The 22650-nt window shown below is 34.3% G+C and overlaps 1 protein-coding gene across 2 annotated transcripts in view; it reads left to right on the plus strand.

Annotated features, from left to right (window-relative positions):
* CFAP47 (cilia and flagella associated protein 47) overlaps nucleotides 1–22650 on the plus strand; it is a 465584-nt gene that overhangs the window by 359674 nt on the left and 83260 nt on the right. For both annotated transcript variants that reach the window (NM_001304548.2, XM_017029452.2), the window contains exons 50-53: nucleotides 1080–1223; nucleotides 6222–6319; nucleotides 19570–19745; nucleotides 21665–21772. In NM_001304548.2, coding sequence (NP_001291477.1) covers nucleotides 1080–1223; nucleotides 6222–6319; nucleotides 19570–19745; nucleotides 21665–21772 — 526 coding nt within the window. The remainder of the gene's footprint in view (nucleotides 1–1079; nucleotides 1224–6221; nucleotides 6320–19569; nucleotides 19746–21664; nucleotides 21773–22650) is intronic.

Here is a 22650-nt window from a genome sequence, read left to right on the forward strand (position 1 = left end):
ATTGTAGTTCTACTTGTCTTTACAATTAATGAAGTGTGGATACTACCATAATTCAACTAAACAGTATTTATAGGCATTGCTGTAAACTATTTGATTTTGATGCATGGCTAGAAACATACAGTTTTGTGTGCAAAGGTTTGTTTATGTCAAGCTGGTATTTAGAGGTCAGGGACCATTTCTGAATCATTTCCATAAGAATATAAACTTTAATTTAAAAATTAATACCAACTTATATAGGTCAACTTTAGTATAAAAAAATTCCAGAGTGATGATTTTTTATAGTAATAACTTTTGTTTTTTTGTTTTGTTTTGTTTTTGAGACAGTTTTGCTCTTTCACCCGGGATGGAGTACAGTGGTGCCATCTCAGCTCACTGCAACTTCCGCCTCCCGGGTTCAAGTAATTCTCCTGCCTCAGCCTCCCAAGTAGCTGGGATTACAGATGTGTGCCACCACGCCTGGCTAATTTTTGTATTTTTAGTAGAAACAAGTTTCATCATGTTGGCCAGGCTGGTCTCGAACTCCTGACCTCAAGCAGTCCACCCTCCTCAGCCTCCCAAAGTGCTGGGATTACAGGCATGAGCCACTGTGCCTGGCCTCACTAATAACTTTTATAACAAAATGTTTAACATTTTATATATTAAATATTTTCAAGAAATTTCATGCTTGGGATATTGTGATATTATATAAAATAAAATAAATATTATTTTAATGGGGTAATAAATAGAGCATTAAAATGACTTAGGAAGAAAATAAGAACAGTTACCCAGGGGCAATAAGTATTCTGAAAGTTGATGCATTTATATTATTTTCCACTTTCTAAAATTATCTTAGAAAAGTTGTTGAAAAATTACCATTTTAATGGAGATTTTGAAAACATTTCCTTAAACTCTTTCCTTGAGCTTTTCCTTAAAATGTTCTGAATAGGTATGAGGTTTAATTCTAACACTGACATCTAGAATTAATTTTCACTTTATATTTATATATCTTAAGCTAGAGTAACTTTAATATCTGTAGCTTACCTTTTGTTTCAGAAAACTAAACCCTGATTAATAGGGCATCTTGTACTTATGTGTTGTAGGTACAATTACATTTTCTACTACAAGAAGATGTACTACAAGAAGGAAACATGATGATTATGAGGAAGACACAGATCAAGATCAAGCCCTCTCCTGTCTTGATTCAATAACAGAACAATCTAGCATTTTGGATGATGCAGACACATGTAAGTTTATTATGACAGAGTTTCACTATTAGTTTGCATAAATCCAAATCATCATTCACTTTTGAATGAAATAGATAGTTTACACGCATAATACATATCCAAATTTGTATTGCATGTTTCCATAAGAATTTTATTATTTCAGTATTAACTATATGTAGCATATATTCTGGAGTTCCACTGCTATTAATGTCAATAGTATCAAAATACTTCAGCTAGAAGGGTGCCCACTCTTTCATAATTGAAAAGCTTTACATATTTTTCTGTCACTATACAAAAGCATACAGCAAATTTCTAATAAAATGTTAATGAGTATATTGTTTTAATAATGTAATATGCATTGCTTACTTCAATATAAGAGATACTAGCAATCTTCCTCATATGCCAAAGAAACTAAACACTATTTTTCCCCCTATATTATAAAGCTTTATTTGAATGTTGTTAAACATCATGTCTTTTTAGTACAAGTTCCAAGTAAAATAAGGTGATGAGGAGTTGGAATACTCAGGGCAGGTTTCCTGGAAATGGGTGAATGAGTTTTTCTTTTATGGGTGAGTAGCAGGGATGCAAGGCCTTAGTAAAGAAAAGTGGTTCAACAGGGACAAACTTGTGGAGACATTTTAAATGTTATACAAAAGAAGAAATCTTTATTGAATGAATTCGTATTAGATAGCATTCTTCACAGAAACAGAAATGATGGAGTGTGTGTGTCTGTATTTGTGTGTCTGTGTGTATTGAGAGAGAAAGATTTGCAATTGACACCATTGTGGGAGCTGGTAAATCTAAAATCTGCAAGGCAAGCCAGCAGGCTAAAAAGTCAATGTCAATGTTGCAGCCTTGAGTCCAAATTCCCCAGGATAGGACAGGCAGGCTGGAAATTCAGGCAGTCTTTCTATGTTACAGTCTTGAGAAATAATTGCTTCTTTTTGGAGGAACACCAGTGGTTGCACTTAAGGCCTTCAACTCATTGGAGGAGGCCTACTCAATGGAAGATAATTTGCTTTACTCAAATTATACTAATATAAATGTTAATCACATTTCTAAAATAGCTTCACAGGAACATCTAGACTAGTGTTTGTTCATACAACTGGGCAGTATAGCCCAGCAAAGTTGACACATGAAATTAAGCATCACAGAATCCATGGACTAAAGAGTAGTATTTAGGAATATTCAAAATGATTTGGGAAGAGAAGTTGGGCCAGTTAGACTACTACAACAGCAAATTGAGTTTAAAGTGAAGACAACCAGGTATTTTATGGTGGTGGTGGTGATGGAAATATAGAAATATCACTAAAGATGAGAAATATTTCAGAGACTAGCATTGGATGACTGTCCTTATAGAAGATAATGAAAAAGGGCATTGATTCTAAAAAATAATAATAAGAGTTCGTTTGTATTTTGGTCAATAGAAAAAAAAAGAAATTCAGAAGGAAAGAAAAAAGTTTTGGAGATTGTAACACTTAGCAAAGTTTTGTACTTCATGATGTTGATCTGACATCAAGATATTTACATAGCAATATCCAGTTGCCAATTGAATCTTTGTAGCTGAAACTAGGAAAAAAAAAACAATATTAACATGAGTTGTAAAGGTTTAGGGTCTCTTTCAGTGAAATCATGCAGGTGAGACAAAGGAATAGATAATTGCTGTAGATGTGTTATGTTAAAAGTTAAATCCTCATTAATATCTAGGGCAGAAGAACCATGAAGGAAAACCTTCATGAGGGTTAAAGTGTTCAGAAGAATTTGAAGGAAAATCAAAATATTATGATTTTATGTTAATAGGCTAAAAAAGACTGATCTCTAATAAACATACTAACCTACATATTAACAGGTTGAAAGATAGATTAAAAGCTAGGAAAAATGTACCTGACAACATTAAAGGTATCCCTGATTCTTCAGACAGGTCTTTTCATATCCTTACTCTCAGACAGAATTAACTTTTCCCCTATAATAACATGGATCCTTTTTTAAAGACTGCTCCACAGTGTATTTATTTTCAATTAGAGAAATCTTCTAGCTTTCCTCTCATCAAAGAAATGAAAGCAACACCTAAATCAGAATGTTTTAACCTTCCGAATAGGGAAATATGAAAGATAATGGTAATACCCATTTTTAATGAGAATCAGATCAAAAGATGCAATTGCATGCATTACAACAGAAATTTAAATTGATAAAAACTTTTTTAAGAGAACATTTATAGTATATTTAAACTTTTAATAATTTTTTATCTCCTTCAATCCAATGATTCAGTCTAAGGAATTTGTTAGAATATTCAAAGATATACAAAACATATGACATTTAAGAATGTTTCTTTTGTGATATATTGAATAATTGAAACTAAAGTTTTAATAGTGAGTATTTTCTGAATAATATAAATGTGTATATTCTTATGTACATATGAATGTATCAATTATGTATATTGTATACACCCCAGTATATTTATGTGTCTATGTCTATATATCCATATCTTTCTTGATATTTTGAGCCTGGAATTTTGTACAAATATATTAAGTAGCTGTCATTTAGTCATGAAATTATGAAGAACTTTCATTTTCATACTATTCAGGAATTTCTAAAATCACTATAGTGAATGCTATTGATTTTATAATTAGAAAAATATTTTAATTTAAGGCTCAGAGTTAAAAAACAATCACTATTTTGTTGTTGTTTTCATCAATAAATCATTCACCAATCCCACTCTAATCAATAAATTAATACTCAATGTACATGTCTAGTACTGTAGGAACTAAATCAGCTACATCACAACACTGCCACGTGTGATAGTCACAGTAATTATAAATAACAGGTGTTATTGTCCCTGCGATGGTTAATTTTATGTGTCAACTTAGCCAGGCCACAGGGCCCAGATACTTGGTCAACTTTATTTTTAATGTTTCTGAGAAAGTGTTTTTTGGATGAGATTAACATTTGAATCCATGGACTCTGAATAAAGCAGATTACCCTCCATAATGTGGTTGAGCTTCATCCAATCAGTTGAAAACCTTAGTAAAATAAAATCTGACCTACCCCAATATACTTCAGATTTTGGATTTACCAAGCCTCCACAGTTGTGTGAGCCAATTTCTTAAAATCTCTGTCTTTCTCGCTCTTCTTTACACATCCTGCTAGTTCCATCTCTCTGAAGAACCATGACAAATATAGTCCCTGTTCCACAAATGGGCAGACTCTTGAGATTCTTTGCCAAAAATCACCAACTAATGGTGGTCACATTGGGATTTGAACCCTGGCCTTATAACTCTGAGTCGTTCCACTGATCTTTGCATTAACCCAGAGTCATGAAGCATCTCCTCAGTCATAGCTACTGTTTATTTCCAGAATTATTTTCTCTGTGAGTTCAGTGTGGGTTAAAATATTGGAAAGGCCCAGATAAAATATGCATAAGCTACCTAGAAGGGAAAACACTTTTCATTTTAAGAACTTTGATTTATTTTGGGAGAAGTCACATTTAAATGTCATAAAAGCACTTAAAGTGCTTTTATAAAATTGAAGGAGCAAATGTGAGCAGAGCCTTCCTTAATAATCTCTCATCAGTATAAATTTGGTAACCTTATTTTCTGCACATTTCTGCTTTTAAGGGAATGAACTGATGTCTGAAAAATAAACAAGTACAGGAGTCAGTTCAAAATGTGGAAATAAATTTGCCCTCAAGAACTCCTCATAGTTATTTGGAATAAGAATTCAACTGGGTCTTATTAATTGTAACTATTTTTTTCTCTTTCTCCCTCTTACTAGCTGTTTACGTTAAATATCTGGATTGTTCTCAGGTCCACCAATCTTACAAGTATTTTAGATACCTAAAGTGTTGAAACAGGATGCAAAATAGTACAATACAGTATGGTACAGAACAGTGCAGTGCAGTAAAATACAATGTCATGCAATACAATCCCATACAAAGCTATGAACGCCATACAGTGCAATACAATACAACACAATACGATGCTATTCACTGTCATACAGTGCCATACAATACAGTACAATGCAATGCAAAACATATACTCATGAAAAACCTTTTCAGTAGAGAGAAACACTGAGAATTCCACTAGTTTGTGCTTCTTATTTCATAGATGAGGAAACTGAGGCCCAAAGAGGTTAGCAATTTACCTAAATAAGTTAATCTAGCATAACAGTTCTTGAAATCTTTTAAACATGACAATACTGATGTGAATATGTATACAATTTACTGAAATTGGAGGACAATCTTAAGCCATGACCTAGTTCAACACAGGAAAACAAAAGAATATCAAAATGGGAAGCTGAACAGAGAGGAAAAACAAAACAAAACAAAACTGAATTTGACAGACGTAAAAAACCTTTTTATGAAGGGCCTGGTTGATGAGGATTCCAGTTTTAGCATGAGGGAGTATGGTTTTGGTTATCATCAGGGGCAGAATTGCCTGCTTTTTAAAAATATTAGGAAAGCAAGATATAAAAATAATTGTCTCACGACTTAGTCTATGTCCCTTTCAGAATTTCCTTGGGCTAAATTCTTAGGATCCTTTTTCACATTTTCAGGAAACATGCAATCTCATTTTCCTGACTTTCTCCTTATACTAGATTCTTATGGTCCTGGAAATGTAGCATTGTAAATTGTAATGACTTATTTAGATATATCTATGTACAAATACATGAATAGTTTGTCAATGAGAAAAAAGATTGGTTATTACTTTTTGAAACATTAATCCTTAACTTAAAAGTAAAACATTCCGAAATTCATTTTATGGAAGAACTTAATGAGTTACTGGCATAGGTATAGGGCCAGGAACTTGTACAGGACATTCTCTTGGCCATGCAAGGATGGAGCTTCTCTTATTCCTCACTAACTGTGATAAAAACAGCTTCTCACCCTTTCTTCAGCTGTCTTGACAAAAAGTCCATTAAACAAAAAGGTTGAAAATGATGTCTGTTCATGATTCTCAAATGTGTATGTTAAGTATGGTATTCTGAAGTCTATATTAAAAAGTGTTTTGTTTTGTTTTTCAGATGGTAATTTTAACAATTTAAGATTCTGGTATAATCTTGAGATCCATAGCACTCCTGGACCACCCATAGAGATTATGGAAATGACATGTATTGCTCTGGTAAGTGCCCATTGCATGTTCATAGACTCTGTCATTTTGTGAGCACTCAGACCTTTTGTTGTATAGTAAATTATTTACTATCCCTTAAAAGGTCTGTATCAGATGATTGTATTAAGATAAATTAGTCAATCATAGCAATTTTATTTTTAAATCTAGTACTACGGACTTTAAATGCTTTTGGAAAACATCTTTTAGTTATATGTTATCTTATAGTGACTGCATTGATTAGCATTCTATCTGTTTCAAGAGTTACTAGAGCAAACTTAACCTTAGTCTACATGTTTGTTCACACATAGATGATAAAAACAGGATTGTGCTACTAGACTCTTTCAGCATTGCTTTTTCCTGGTTTCTACAGCAGACCTTTCACTTGGAAACATATTTGGAGCAACTGGCATACATTTGGGGTTTCCATTAATACTCGGAATAGATTTTGTCTGATGTGAATTACTAAAATGTTACTAAATTTGTGTCAAAAATTATTTAATAAAGTTAAATATTAAGAGTCTTATTTTAAATGAAACATGAGGACAATATTGCTATTAACAATGTTTTAGTTAAATTTAGTTTCCTTATTGTTAGTACTCAAATATTTAAATTGATAATAATAAATGTTATTTTTATTTTTAAATATGTGGATAGATTTCTTTATAGAATTGATTACTTAGAATCTTGAACTTTGGTTCCAATAAATAGAAAGTAAAAAAAAAAAAAGATTTAAAATACTATAAATTTACAAATTGATTATTTGCCCACCTGATTTCTGGGTAAATCTCCATTTAGGCATAGAAGATGAATGATTAAAATTTTGAAATGTGCTCAAGTATAGATTGCAAAAGCATTATCTTCTAAGTGGAAAACTATTTAATATGACAGTAGGATCATTTCACTCAATGAAAATGTCTTATTTCTGTGAATTGGTTACCACTGCAGTGTAAAATCTTCCTTAAAGGTTACTTTAAAATATACATTAAAATGTATCCCTTTATCAAGACGTAGAGAAAAACATTTAAATAGGCTTTGAAAAAATTGAGTGCATGATGTAGCACCTCAGAAAAGGAGAAATTGGCTTTCTTATTAACTATATGCTTAAAATAGGAATAGAGATGACAAAATATGCAAAACAAACAGAAGTAAATACAATTTTAAAATAAATTATAGATGGTCAATTGTTGCATTTTCTCATTAAGTGGTGTATAAAGTGCCTTTTTTTTCTGCAAGAGCTATTAGCCCTTCAAGAAAATACTGATAGAAATTGAGATTTCTATAGCTCTCAACCTTAAAAGGTGAAGACTGTCACACAGGCTGAGAAATACACACCATCAGGGTACTTTATGTGCATATTTAAGAAGATTGAGCAAAAAGCAAAAACAAACAAACAAAAAACCAAAACCAAAACCAAAAAACCACTACTTATCTCTTTGAATGAGAAATTTCAAATATGTTTTCATTTATGAAATTAAATTTGCATATACCCTTTCAGGAATATATTATTTTAATAAATAATGTACTTTTGAATAATGGCCCTTGTTCATTTTTCATCAAGGACTTGCCCCTCCCCATGTATATTATAATGTAATCCTAATTCAGTTTGTACTGATTTCCTATAAGTTTTCAATTTAAACCTCTTTTTGTTTTGGCACCACAGTGGGATATGTGTAACTCGTCTTACGCACATATATATTTCTAATTGCTATCATTTTTGCTTTTATTATTCGTTATGAACAGTTAGCATAGTTATTTCATAAATATACTTAAATGATATTTTTTCATGGTCTACTTAGATTAAAACGCAATTATCGAGTCCCCTTTTCATTGAGTAGTTTTACGTTATAAGGCAGGAATGAAACTTCTTAACACATGACAGCTGCTAGATAGTTTCCTTGTTACCATAGGCAGGTTTGCTGTATTAATTAAATGTTCACATTTAACTGTGATTTGTTGAGAAGGGACATCTTTTTCAACTAAGTTTACCAACTTAGGCTATCGTGGCTAGTGATGTTGCCAAATTATTAAGTTTTCTCACGTTTCTAGTCGTAATTGTCGAAGGTAAAAATCTATTCCCTCTTTAACTTTCAGACATGAAGATTTATTTACTAGAGATAGTATGATCTCTTTTAAATAATGCCATCAAATGAAACCTTTGTCCATTATTTGAAGAAGATGCTTTCCAACTACTTTCAGAAGTATACTAAAATTGTGGTCCTCACTTGTATATTATTTCCTAATATTATTGAATGCATATTCTGTTCAGATGAATCATTTGAGAAATACTTTATTTAAACTTTATACCTCCAGATGTGGCAATGGTGCACTCAAGATACTAAGCCATCTCTTATTTTTTTATCTGCATCTCAGTTTTTATTACATTCAACTCAAATTTCCACATTTTTTCTACAGATGAATGATTGATCAGAATCTCTCTAAAATAGGGTTCATGTAAGAAATACTTACAGTCTTGAAACACATATATTTGGTTATTTCTTGCTGCAGGTTCCAAAACCAGATTACATTCTCAGTAAATAATACTTGCTTGTTAGTAGTCCATTCTCTGTTAGTATAAAGTATTTAGGATTTCCTTTGGAAATTTTAACATGTAATAGCTGCTGTTCCATTTTGTTTGATCTCAAAAATCTCTTGTATGTCATATAGTTTGGCTATGGGAGAATGATGACAATAACCCGCTGTCTTTCCACTGACACTCAATAACTCTAATATATAGCACTGAGCTATAAATATTTTGTGGAAACAAAACTTAAGTGTGTGAGCAACTCTTTATATAATTTACATTTTAAACAGCCATAGCCTTCAAAATACTTACTTCATTGTCAGTGAAAATTGCATGATCATTTATTTCTTTCTGAGCTTTTAATTTATAAACAACCTTCAATGAAATTCACTATATTGTTAATTAAGAGATCCAGAAATCTCTCCACAAACTAGCAAAAGAGAAGGACAGTTAAAAACACCGTTAATCCTCTTGGTGTCAAACATAAAAGCATCCATACAAAACAACACAAGTGAGACCAGGTGCGGTGGCTTATGCCTGTAATCCCAGCACTTTGGGAAGCCAAGGTGGTAGGCTTGCTTGAGCTCGGGAGTTTGAGACCAGCCTGGGCAACATAGTGAGACTTTGTCTCTAGTAAACAAAATAAAAATTTAAAAAACACATGTGAGTTGCCAACCATTTTTAAAAAGTTTTTAGTTTTAGCCTCCATAAATTCAAAAATATATTTTGAGTTACTGTTTTCAATGTATTTTCTTCTTTCATCCTTTTTTTTTTTTTTTTTTTTGATGGGGTTTTGCTCTTGTTGCTCAGGCTGGAGTGTAATGGCATGATCTTGGCTCACCACAACATCCGCCTCCCGGGTTCAAGCGATTCTCCTGCCTCGGCCTCCTGAGTAGCTGGGATTACAGGCATGTGCCATCATGGCCAGCTAATTTTGTGTTTTTAGTAGAGATGGGGTTTCTCCATGTCGGTCAGGCTGGTCTTGAACTCCCGACCTCAGATGATCTGCCCCCCCGCCTCAGCCTCCCAAAGTGCTGGGATTACAAGCGTGAGCCACCGCACCCGGGCCTCTTTCATACTTTGTATACTTTATTTTTCTATAGGAAAGATCATATATCATAAGTGTTGTCCATGACATTGAAATTTTTCTTCCTCATGAAATGTTGAGGAAGCAAAATTAGCATTCTGCCTTTAATTTATCCTAAGTTGTAAAAAATTCTTAAATACTATTTTTTAATCCGGAAAAAATATCTCATGGTCTAATTTGAGTTAAATACAAAAAATGAAGATGTAGCTAGGGAGGCTATTTTGATTAATGTTGAAAACACTCATATAAAAAATATTCTATAAAAGTTAGAATTATGATAAAATCTCATCTCTAATCTGCCTATACTCTATTTTTAAAAATTTTAAAGCACTTGTTGGCTCCCAAAAGATATAATGTTCTTCCTAAAATTATAGAGCTAATATACTTGGATTTAATATCTACATTAATTGCCAGAATATTTTCTGATTCATTTACTTATTTCTAAATTCTGAATTGATTTTGTACATAATGTCTGTGGCTTTAAAGATCAGCAATAATTAGCCACTTTCACTTCAACCGAGAGTGGACTCAAGGCCGTGCCTAGAGTTAAATTGTCAACTGTCTGTGCTTCACTGAAGTGCCTAATTAAAGGGAAAAGGTTGTGTGTGGGGGAGGGTCTGCTGTCCAAATAAGGTGCTCTGCCAAAAGGAAGGGTGCCTTTATTCTCTCTTTCTCTCTCAGTCTCCCCCAGTCGTCCCATTCTCCCTCCACACCCTCTCTTCCTCCCTCCCTCTTCTCTTCCTCCTCCCCGCCCCTCGCCCCCGCACCTTAGTTCTTTTTATTTTTTCATCAAAGTCATCTATGCTGGCCAAGCTCTGTGCTCTGAAGGCTGATTCCTTTTCTAGTTTTCACACATACAACTTTTCCAGTAATGACTCTGTATAAGAATTTTCAACAAACAAAGCTTTTCAGGAAATGTTTATTCCAAGTTAAAGCAAGAATGCTGACCTGTATTTACAGAGTATCTAGGTAGTCATAATGAATTCTACTGACACTCTTTGTTCATAATTACCAACAATGCTGTTCTGGTTAGATACGATGTTAACCAGTGTGATTTGCAGAAATGACATGGAAATAGAGATTTAGCTATTTACTCTTAAAAACAGAGAGTGTGATAAACAGCTGATTTTAGAAGCTGAACTTAGGTTTGTCTTTACTTTCTGGTAAACTCAGTCAGCTTCAGTTTCCTCTCAGGTCAGATTCAACTCCTTCTCAGTGTTCTCATGCTCCGTTCTCCTGGGTGTTATGGAGGGGTTAAAAGGAAACTTAGAGGGCATCCTGACTCCAAGTTCAGAGATGGAGGGAATTTGGTCCTTACCATCTTGTCCTGACATCAGCAATATAAAAGTCTTACTGGCTAGTCATTGAATATCAAGGGGCTCTCCCCATCAAATTTCATGTAGCCCCTAAAGGACACAGCAGAACATCCTTAAGGCTTTCTAAATTCCAGTGAAAAGTCACTAAAGTAGCTGAGATAGGACAGGAATTTAGGAGGAAGTTTAAGTCTTGAGTAAAGTGTGTGTTTTCTGTCTGTCGCCACCACCAGCTGAGGAAAACTGAATTTATTCTTTATTGGTTATTAACACTGGCTAGGCAGATTTTCTCCAAAAACTATGGTTTGTATCAGAACAATAGAATCAAAACAAAATAAAATAAAATATCTAAAACAAGAGTATGTTGGAAAAAATAGATGAACTTTCTTTTCCTTGCATTCAGGGTATAGCAACCCCACCCAGTGTGCAGTGAGCTTAGAAAGCTTTAGCATTGGAAATTAGGTGAAGGTAATGGAGTGAGGCGACCTGGGTTAATATGGCAAACTATCAGCCTATTGTACCTGATGAGGAAAAGCTAGCATTAGCTCTGATGGAAACAATCTAATTTGTGATTTTGTGGGCAAGTTCAAATTTTACATAATGAGTTAAGAAGTTGTTCTAAAACTCATATTGTACCTTGGAAATTTTGAGATGAAAAATTATAATTGTTTTGAGATATCTCTGTATTTCTGAGTGAAGTAGTGTTTAGGGGATAGAAAGGAATAAGTCAGGTAAGAAAATTATAATTGTCCTTCCTTCTCGTGTAGGTCTTTAAGTCAGGAGTATATTAATTAGTTGAAATCAACATCACAGCTATCTGAAAGACCATTATTTCAATTAAAGTTCACAAAACATTCCAAAATAAAACAATTTTTGGCTACTCTGTCATTATGAACTATTCATGCCTCTGCCTTCTTCCGTAAATGCAGATGAAGAAGAATTGACTGAACATGACATTGGATTCATTTATGCAAGTTCAAACACCTGACATGCAAAAAAAAAAAAACATGGCAAATACCCACTCACTGTGTCAAGAATTACCCCCTGGGGTACCCCATACCCCACGATTATTAAATTATGTGTAATGTATCTAAGCACTGTTTGCTTAACTCGTGACAAACACTCTTCAAAATGGCTGGCCTACATGGTCATTCAGAGTTAGCATTTTAATAATTCACACACATGCATATACATATATATGTATACTTACATATATATACGTAGAGAATAAATACATAGAGAGTACATACACACATATACGGCGGGGGAGGTGGAATACTATCTTAAACAGTTAAGCAGGAGGTTACTTCCTAGGGATCGGTCCTTGCAATTAGAAATATTTCTATTTTTAATAGTTTTCTTTTCTCTCTCAAGGTTATGGGGTGTGTCTGAATACAAATTAATAAACTTTAGGCTCTTCCAGTGTTTTCTGGCTTTTTCACAACTCCCAGGTGCCTATTAATGCATCTTCAACATACATGTCCCCCAGTCTGGCATTAGCAAACCACCTTGATTGCATCTCAGCATTCTATACATTTCAAGTCATATGGTGGAGGATTGGGGATTGGGGTGGGTATAAGGCATGACATCATTAGATACAGTGTTGTACAGATGGAAATAGCAAAGGAATGACGATGGTGTTTCTAAATATAGCTGTCTACGTGGTTTATGTGAGTTCTGACTTTTCAATTTAGGAAAATTATTGACCCAGATTATAATGATCACTTCCTCTCAATTACATGATACTTTCAAAATACCCATTAGTTGTTTGTTTACTGACTTGATAATGTTTTCAAATTGAATAAAATTAAAATTGAAGATTTCCTCAATAATATGCCTTACTTAATATTATTGTATGTTTTCTCCTCAGAAATAATCCTTTTATAATGAACTTGTGATTATCTTCCGTGAGATGGTATGGTGAAAATACTTCATGCTAGTGCATATTGAATTGTCATTGACTCAATTAAGTGGTTATGTGGAAGTAAATAATCTTTATTTATTCTGACCAAGCAGGAAATGATGAAGTGTTTATTGCACTCAGTGAATTACATTTTTCCTCTTAGAGTAGGTATGAACTGGCAACCAAGTGACAAAGTGATAAGGCAATAAAGTCTTTCTCTCATCTGAAACTGCTGTCTTCACCCTGTAACTTTCAAGTAAGGAGGCAGGCTGAATTAACTGGAGACTTTTAAATTCCTTTTGAGTTAGATTTTTACAAAGTTGCTTTATTATTTAGTTAAAAGTTGTGATTATCCAAAATATCAGACATATCAATAATTATATATAATATGTAATATGTAATGTACAATATGTAATACATAATATATAATGTATAATATGTATATACATATACACAAACACTAAATCATCTCATAAATTGCACATTTTATTTTCTAATGAGTATTTACTGGGTATCTCTGATATTCCTGCCACTGTTCTAGATGCTAAGGAACAGTGATGAACAATACAAGCAAGGCCCCTATTTGCATGGAGCTACCATTCTAGTGGAGTTAGAAAACGAATAAAATAACTGAAATAGGATGTTTCCTGGGAAGTTCTCCTTTTATCCTGGATTTTCAAATGAAGTCACAAACCTGGGAACTGTAGATAATTATATTTCCATATTATGAAAGTGGTTGCTGTCCTGTTTATTTAAGACTCTCTAAATATAGTATTCAGAGTATATCTAGCTGATACAGCAAATAAACCCTAAATTTGCAATGGCTAAACACAGTAAAAGTTTTTAACAATTGTAACATTCTAGTGAATGTGTCCCTGGTTGGTGGGTGGCATACTCTGTGTTGTGATTCAGGGAGCAAGGCTCGTTCCATCTTGTGATTCCTTCCTTTTTAGGGACTCAGAGGTTCCTACGTATAGCTGGAGAAAAAGAAAGCAGAGAGAAGAGAATTTCCAATAGTTTTAATGGCCTTGACACACAGGTGACACATCACTTTCACTCACATACAATTGGAGAAAACTAGTGACACAGCCATGCCCAGGTGAAAGAGGGTCTGGGAAATGGAATCTCTAGTTGGACAGCCACTGCCAAGTGACATCTTCATGCCAAGAAAGGAGAACATAGGATTTTAATGGAGACATGATGTTTCTGGCACATCAAGGGAGGGGAGGAATCTTTAGCCCATCACCCATTTACAGCTCATATCTGTGATGGCCAGAACAAAAAGACAGTGGGAGTGTCTTCTTTAAGGAGGGGAAGCTGATAGTTTAATGCCCCTGGCTCTTGGTGAGTTCCTACCAACAGAATGGACCACAGAGGGAGGGAAGGTGGTTAGAGTGAGAGCAAGATGCACTTTCATCGGCACAAGTCAAGATGTAGTGGGCCAAAGTGAATTTGACATAATGAAATAAGGCTAAGCTTGAGCTTATTTGAAAGGACCCAGAGCAAGAAACATTCTTCTAGGGTGAGAAGACTCCAGGAGAGTCTACATGAGGGTAATTCAAGATAGAAGAAGGCAAAAGGAACTTATATAGTCACCTGGATAAGATCAGGTAGCACCAATTAAGTAAGTGGGTATTGTTCTTCTACCTGTCATCTCATTTCATCCTGCAACCTGAAAGAGCCAGCCACGTCAGCACCATGATCATAAGAGAGGAAGCTGGAGCAGAGGGTTGAAAAGAGCAGGACATGTTTACCTCCTTCCTCACAGGCAGTGTGCAAAATTCCCAGACAGGCCTGAGGGTGAGGATGAGGTGCCAGAAAGAATCAGGAGAAGACTTCAATTGCCATGTGAGAAGAAAGTGTTGATTGATTTGAGATTTCTATAAATACCTCAAAATTAGACTCTTCTGGCACTGGGAGCCAGCAGTTTGGGAGACCGAGGCAGGCCGATCAGGAGGTCAGGAGGTCGAGACCATCCTGGCTAACACGGTGAAACCCCGTCTCTACTAAAAATACAAAAAAAATTAGCCAGGCATGGTGGCAGGCGCCTGTAGTCCCAGCTACTCGGGAGGCTGAGGCAGGAGAATGGCCTGAACCCAGGAGGCGGAGCTTGCAGTGAGCCGAGATCATGCCACTGCACTCCAGCCTGGGCGACAGAGTGAGACTCCATCTAAAAAATAAAATAAAAATGAAAATAAAAAATAAATAAATATGTATGTGTATAAATATATATATAAATGCTGAAAATATCTAATATTTGTTTTAAAAGTGTGTAGGTATTCAAACTTCCTCTGAAAAGCTTTATAATTTGCAAAATTCAATACAACTGTTTTTATATATTTTAAAAGAGTATTCCTCTTCTACATGAGTGGTTAAATGTTTTAATTATTTTCAATTTCAGCATCTTGTGAATGTCTTTTCTGTTTTAAAATTTTTGCTTGTATTTCACGGGATTAAATATGCATTGTTTAGTCCTCTTGTAAAGGAGTCTGAGAAATGGAAGCAATTTCTTTAAACAGCCATTATGTTTGCCACAATATTTCTAAGTACCAGCCAGAAAAAATATTGGGATACCTTATAAAATAATGCTTTCCATCATTAAACCGAAAAGAGCGCATGTGAAGATGAAAGAAGGCTTTAGAAGTCATCATGTAATGTTCAGCCATTACTGTTTTACTTGAGTTTCAAGAAAAAATCAGTCAAAACTGATTTATGTTTAATTCTGAACACAAATTAACTTTAAAAGCCTACTCATGAAAGTGGAGGAATATGCCATTTGCAAAACAGACACCAACCAAGTATTTCAAACGTTTTTATAGCGTATTCACAGAATTCAGTGGACTGTGTACTTCTCATTTAGTAAGAGTTCTTTATAAAATAAAATGGAATGGGAGGTGGCAGGATAACTTAGCCAAAACAATTAATCTTGTTTTAAATATAATCTTAATGTTTTATTTTGTATGTTATTTTCTCAAAATGGTTATGCATTTCTGTAATCATATAGCTAACCTAAGAAAGTTGTTTCAAGAATAAACATCAATTTTGATCGTCTTATAAAATGATGGATAACATAAGTTTCTTCTCTTTAACTTAGTGAACATATCAAATACTTTAAAAATGTAATTTTACAACCTTAAGAAATATTGATATTTAGAAAAGTAATCTTCCCTAAAATTTTGAAGATATTTTGGCAGGTGGATATTTAAAATACAAATTATTCATTATGTTAAAGGTGTCATTTAAGATTTTTTTCTGTTTAAACCTAGAAGAAAATAATATCCAAACAATAATGTAATTTAGAAATCATTTTTGTAATATTATAGTTACATTTGAGATACTTTCTACCATCCTAGAAATATAGTACAGTTAATTAGAAACTTAAAGCTTTTGACTATAGTGAAACATTTATTTCTATTGAGTCTTGCTATTTTCAAAACTCTGAATAATTTGATTCCAGAGATTTTCAAGAGATTGCAGTACTGGTAGCGCTAAGCATTCAACAATTGCTCTCTGGAAGGCTGCTCTGTAAAGGATTTTGAGGATGTGTCCAGATCTACTGAATAAGAGTGAAATGATCAGTTAATAGTATTTGCCATGGATATTGCAAGGATGCCAAGGAGGAGCTGTGATTTAAGTACTCCATAGACACCATCCGTATCTCCCACTCTTAAGATCTGGCCAACTGTAGAATATTATGACACTTTTGTACCACGAGAGCATGGTCTTGTTAGATAGGTTGTAGTTTACAGAGAAAATAGTAGGTTTAATGTGATTTTGTTTCATTTTGTTTTCAAGACTTATATATGTAATAAGACTTCAAGTAGTTCTATATTCCAATATTTATTCCTCTTTAGACCAGAATCTAAATCTAAATTTAATGTGTAGGTCACAACATGTGAGTGGCTCAACATGTGAGTGGGAAATAGAATAGAATAAAAGGTAGTAGAAAGTATCAGAAAATATTACATGTGGTAAATGCAGGGATTGTTTTGTAAAACTTTTGTGATATGCGTATGTGAACCATATTGTGATATAAAACAAATTATTGTGGGTTGTGGTTAAAACATTTTGAAACTCAGTGGTTTAGATTCTAGCATTTTTACTTCTATGACAGGCTATAACATTCTGTTGAACGGACACTGATCTTCTCTGAATAATGTCTGAGTAGTAGACCAGGACAAATGTCTAGGCCAAATGTGTCATTTCCATCTTCTGTCTTATGCCCTGAGTAAAATCTCTAGGCTCATATTGGGTTGATAGTATGTGTTACCTTGGCATACCCTTTTTTCTAGTGGTTGTTATTTTTGACCATTGGAAATTATTTAGTGGCCAAGTCCTCTATCAACTTTATAAAATATGCCAGGTTACCCAGGAAATTAGTCACTGTTCAGTATTTTACATTTTACACTTTTATTTTTCCTTCTTTATAATTATAAGCGTTGAATATTTTGCTGTAGAAGTTTAAATGCCCACTTATTTTAAGAATTCATAATTCTAATGTCTCCTGAAACCATTGTAGAAGACTATTTTTCATTGCATTTATAATCAACACTGATTTCTAATAAGTGATATCTGCTCTAATCTAATTGTTAATTTGTATATATTCTTAGTTTCCATCTTTCTTCACCAGATGTTGTTCACCACACTAAATGTTGTTTCCATTCCTCTAAAATGTAGCATCCTTCCAACTCATTTATTTATTAGAGGTGATCAGGCAAATATTCTGAGCTATGTCCTCTGAAACAGCCATAGACAAAGCTGTAATATCTGCCTTGAAGATATGTTCCCAGAAGCTTAGTAAGAATTTTTTGTCACCCCTGTAACATGATTTGATAAATTTCATAACAGCTCCATGTTCTAAAGTACGTTTATTACCAAGCTTTGATTTATAATTGAAATGCTCAACCTTCTCCATTTCTTTAGGTTAAAACATTTAGGCAACTGGAATTTGTTAAAATTGAGATGTGTCCTGTCTACTAATTATCTTTACTACATTTGCTTCAATTATAGCTTTTGACGTAGTGGAGATCATGGCTGAAATGGGATGCTTTATAAGTCATTAGCCAGGATGGGTCAGTATGAGGATCAGGAAATATCTTAGAACTTAAAGAGTGCCTTCCAGGGCTAAGACAATGTACCTTGGGGGAAGGACAGGACGAACAAGAACAGAAGGAAGAAATCTAAACAGAAAGATGTATCATCAACATAATTTGACTTTTTAGTTTAGATTGTCCCTGCTACTTGATGCTAAGATACGTTGCTACTTTAAGTGTTTCCTTTGGATCAGCAGCAGCAGCAGCATCATGTGGAAACTTTTTAGAAATATAAATTTCAGACCCCATCCCAGAGCTACTGAATCTCTGGGATGAAGAAAGGCTGTCGGGGAGAGGTGGATAAAAATCTGTCTTTTACACTGTTGGTGGGACTGTAAACTAGTCCAACCATTGTGGAAGTCAGTGTGGCGATTCCTCAGGGATCTAGAACTAGAAATACCATTTGACCCAGCCATCCCATTACTGGGTATATACCCAAAGGACTATAAATCATGCTGCTATAAAGACACATGCACATGTATGTTTATTGCGGCACTATTCACAATAGCAAAGACTTGGAACCAACCCAAATGTCCAACAATGATAGACTGGATTAAGAAAATGTGGCACATATACACCATGGAATACTATGCAGCCATAAAAAACGATGAGTTCATGTCCTTTGTAGGGACATGGATGAAATTGGAAATCATCATTCTCAGTAAACTATCGCAAGAACAAAAAACCAAACACCGCATGTTCTCACTCATAGGTGGGAATGGAACAATGAGATCACATGGACACAGGAAGGGGAATATCACACTCTGGGGACTGTTGTGGGGTGGGGGGAGGGGGGAGGGATAGCATTGGGAAATATACCTAATGCTAGATGACGAGTTAGTGGGTGCAGCGCACCAGCGTGGCACATGTATACATATGTAACTAACCTGCACAATGTGCACATGTACCCTAAAACTTAAAGTATAATAATAAAAGAAAAAAAAATCTGTCTTTTAGCAGACTCTGCTGGTGATTCTTATGTGCAATAAAGTTTGAGTACCATTCCTAGAGTAAACACTGAAAAATGGACCTCATAGAAATAATGATACCAGTGAAAAATATATTTTAAATGTAATTTTACAAATAGTTTTCATCCATTTAGTTACATGGATCTCTGTGTGGTATTTGCTGTTGAAAAAAAATAAGGTTACAATTTATCAAGGCTAATGAAAGAAAACATATAAGAGATTCAAAGCTAGTGAGATATATTCAATAGTGTATCAAGGTAAAAAAATAAAACAAATGGCCTTATATTATGTAATAATTTCCTTTACATTTCCTTTCATAGTATAATGACTCCATGCTGACACTAAAAGTTGATTACATATTTGTTGTATAATTCTAGGACAGCACTTGCATTGAAATACCTCTCTCTAATCCAAAAGATAGAGGTCTTCACTTAGAGGTGCAGTTAACGAGTGCTGCCCTTAATGGGGATAATGAAATTATCCTGAGTCCACTACAGTGCACCAAATATATTGTATGGTATTCTCCAGCAACTACAGGCTACAGCGATGAAAGGTATGGTTTGAGTGTGGCATTATATTTCATTGTTGATCCTTAGAAATTAACCTTTAAAATTTATTTTTTCTTATACTATAATCATTAAAATTACACTTGCTCATAGTTTTAACTTTGTTTAATACTAGTCCCTGAAAAAATGTACTGACTTACAGTTAGCTTTTGCTTGCTTCAGTGCAAAAATAGTATTTATCAGAATATCAAATTAAATAATTTCTACATTTCTCCTTTTATCCCCTTTCACTTCACTTTTTACTAAGTAAATCTTTATGGATGCAAAAACTGAACAAATGAAAACAGTTGCATGAGGACTAGGGATTAAACTTTCAATTTTCTTGAGGAAAATTAACTTATATATTTTTCTTCTTAAATACAAATAATTCACTTGGAGGACATAAAGGAATTAAAGTAATTAATTACAGTCATAATGTCCTACAATACATATCTTGAACTTATTTCTGCTAACTGAAATTTTGCATCCATTGACCAGTCTCTCCCCAAAGTTTGTGTCCCCTCCACCTCCCAGCGCCTGGTAACAATAATCATTATACTTTCTGCTTCTGAGTTCAATTTTTAAAAATTCTGCATATAAGTGAAATTTGTCTTTCTGTGCCTGGCATATTTTATTTAATGTAACATCCTTCAGAATAACTCTTATTGGTGCTTCAAGTACAGTATCCTACAATAGAAACCAGTAATTGTTATTTTAATGAGTCAGTAAATAAATGAATACATCTGTGAAATTTTAAAGGACAAAAATTATTATTCTGCGAAGCATGAAAATAAGAATATAACATGAAAGATACTATTCTGAAAAAATTATTATTAGAAATATGGGCTGGTCTTTTTGCCCCAATATGACTGCACAAGCTTTGTGAACATATACTGAATCTTGAATTTTCTTTATCAGCATACATTAAAAAAATTTTTGGCTAATACTTACTGTCTGCCTACTCTGTTATCATCATTGGGGCGTGTATTTTACATATATAAACATAAAATTCTCATAGTAACTGTAAGAGGTAAGATTGATTCCTCCTATTTTATAAATGAGAAAATTGAAGCTCAAAAAGTTAAGTGACTTTTTCAAGACTGCACAAATAAAAGATGACAGAGCTGAGATACCATCCCAGTTATACTTATTTTTTTTTTTTTGAGACAGAGTCTCACTCTGTCACCCACGCTAGAGTGCAGTGGCGTGATCTCAGCTCACTGCAACCTCTGCCTCCCAGATTCAAGCGATTCTCCTGCCTCAGCCTCCCAAATAGCCGGGATTACAGGTGACCGCCACTACACCCAGCTAATTTTCTGTGTTTTAATGGAGACGGGGGTTCCACCATATTGGCCAGGCTGGTCTCGAACTCCTGACCTCGTGATCCGCCTGCCTCGGCCTCCCAAAGTGCTGGGATTACAGGCATGAGCCACCACGTCCGGTCCCCAGTTATACTTGTTTAGACTGTCACAAGCTCTGCTTCCCTGGGAGTTGAGGATGTGCTGATCATAAAGGAAGTTCTCTAGAGCTATATGTCACTTGATAGCATTCACATGAAAATGCACATGCATTCAACTAAAACTAAATTTGACTTAGTCACAGTTAAAAAGCAGGGCTTTTACTGTTCCACCTTCTGCAAGATATTTAAAATACTCATGTTTAAACATTTTTATTGATCCAACAGGCATTTATTAAACAGATATTAATGACAACAACACTGCTTTTCTTGAATAATGAAGTGATTTTCTCAACCAAAAATGAAGAATTAAAAATACATCTACAAAAAGAGTAGTATGTGTTACAGAGTAGTTGTCAAATGTTGTATTTAAAACCAACTATTTATACTAGTTTGGGGTATACTACTTCTGCCCAATTTATTACACAAACTAAAACTGCTGACAAAATTTTGTGTATTTCTCTCCACCAGCATTATTTTTCAGCCTGAAATGGCTGAAGAGTTCTGGTATTTACTGAAGTTAACTATTGAATTACCAAAACCAACCACAATGCCAGAAATACAGTGCGACCTTGGCAAGTAAGTTCTACTTAATAGATAAAGTTATTGCTTGCAAGAAAAATAGTTAATCTATTACAATGTTGTTATAATGCATTCAGTTTCTAAAATAAAGAATAAATATATCTTTAGTCATTGATTTTTTTTCCCCTAGGGAAGGTTTGATATGTAAACTACCCTGTGGAAAACTTGTCAAATAAAAACAAATCAGGACTTAGCAAGGAAAGAGTGTTATTCAAAAGGATTATTACAAGGGATAAAAAGGGACCATTGCAATAGGGAAAGACTCCCATCTTAGAAGTCTACAAGGGTTTACAAAATCAAACAGAAAAAAGTTCATCTTTTATAAAGTAAAGGAAGGTCAAGCAGATATAGACAGAATCTTTGGAGGGAAAGCTGGACAAGCAAGGGAAAATGGCCAGTGATGTCTAACAGGAAGAGTTTTACTGTGGTCAGCTAATTCCCAGGAGAAGCTGACAAAGGGTCATGTTACTTTGTGTGTCTGCATGCTTGTTTAGGCTTAGGGACAAGCAGAGTTCAGGGGCTGGTGGGAAGGAGAGAAACCTGGCAAACTTTCCTCAAGGTGAAGCAGAGGTAAGCAATGAACAACTGTGAACATTTGGTCAGTGGGTTAATGCCGTGATCCCTTGAGATATGACCATTCCTATTTAGGTAGTTGAGTTCCTACTATTTATCAAGTTTGGTGCTGGTAAATAGGGGTAAACAAGGCATAATCCCTACTTTTAAAGAGTATACACCGTAGTGAGCAAATTAGTGCCTTTTAACTAATTTCTCTCCCTTATCACATCAAAAGAGTGTTGCATTCTTCCAGTACCAGCTCTTTAGCCAAAACAATGACATTTGAAATTTTTTTCTTACAGTAGCATAGATATCTAGTA

The sequence above is a fragment of the Homo sapiens genome, chromosome X, assembly GCF_000001405.40.
Source record: "Homo sapiens chromosome X, GRCh38.p14 Primary Assembly".
NCBI classification, from domain to species: Eukaryota; Metazoa; Chordata; class Mammalia; order Primates; family Hominidae; genus Homo; species Homo sapiens.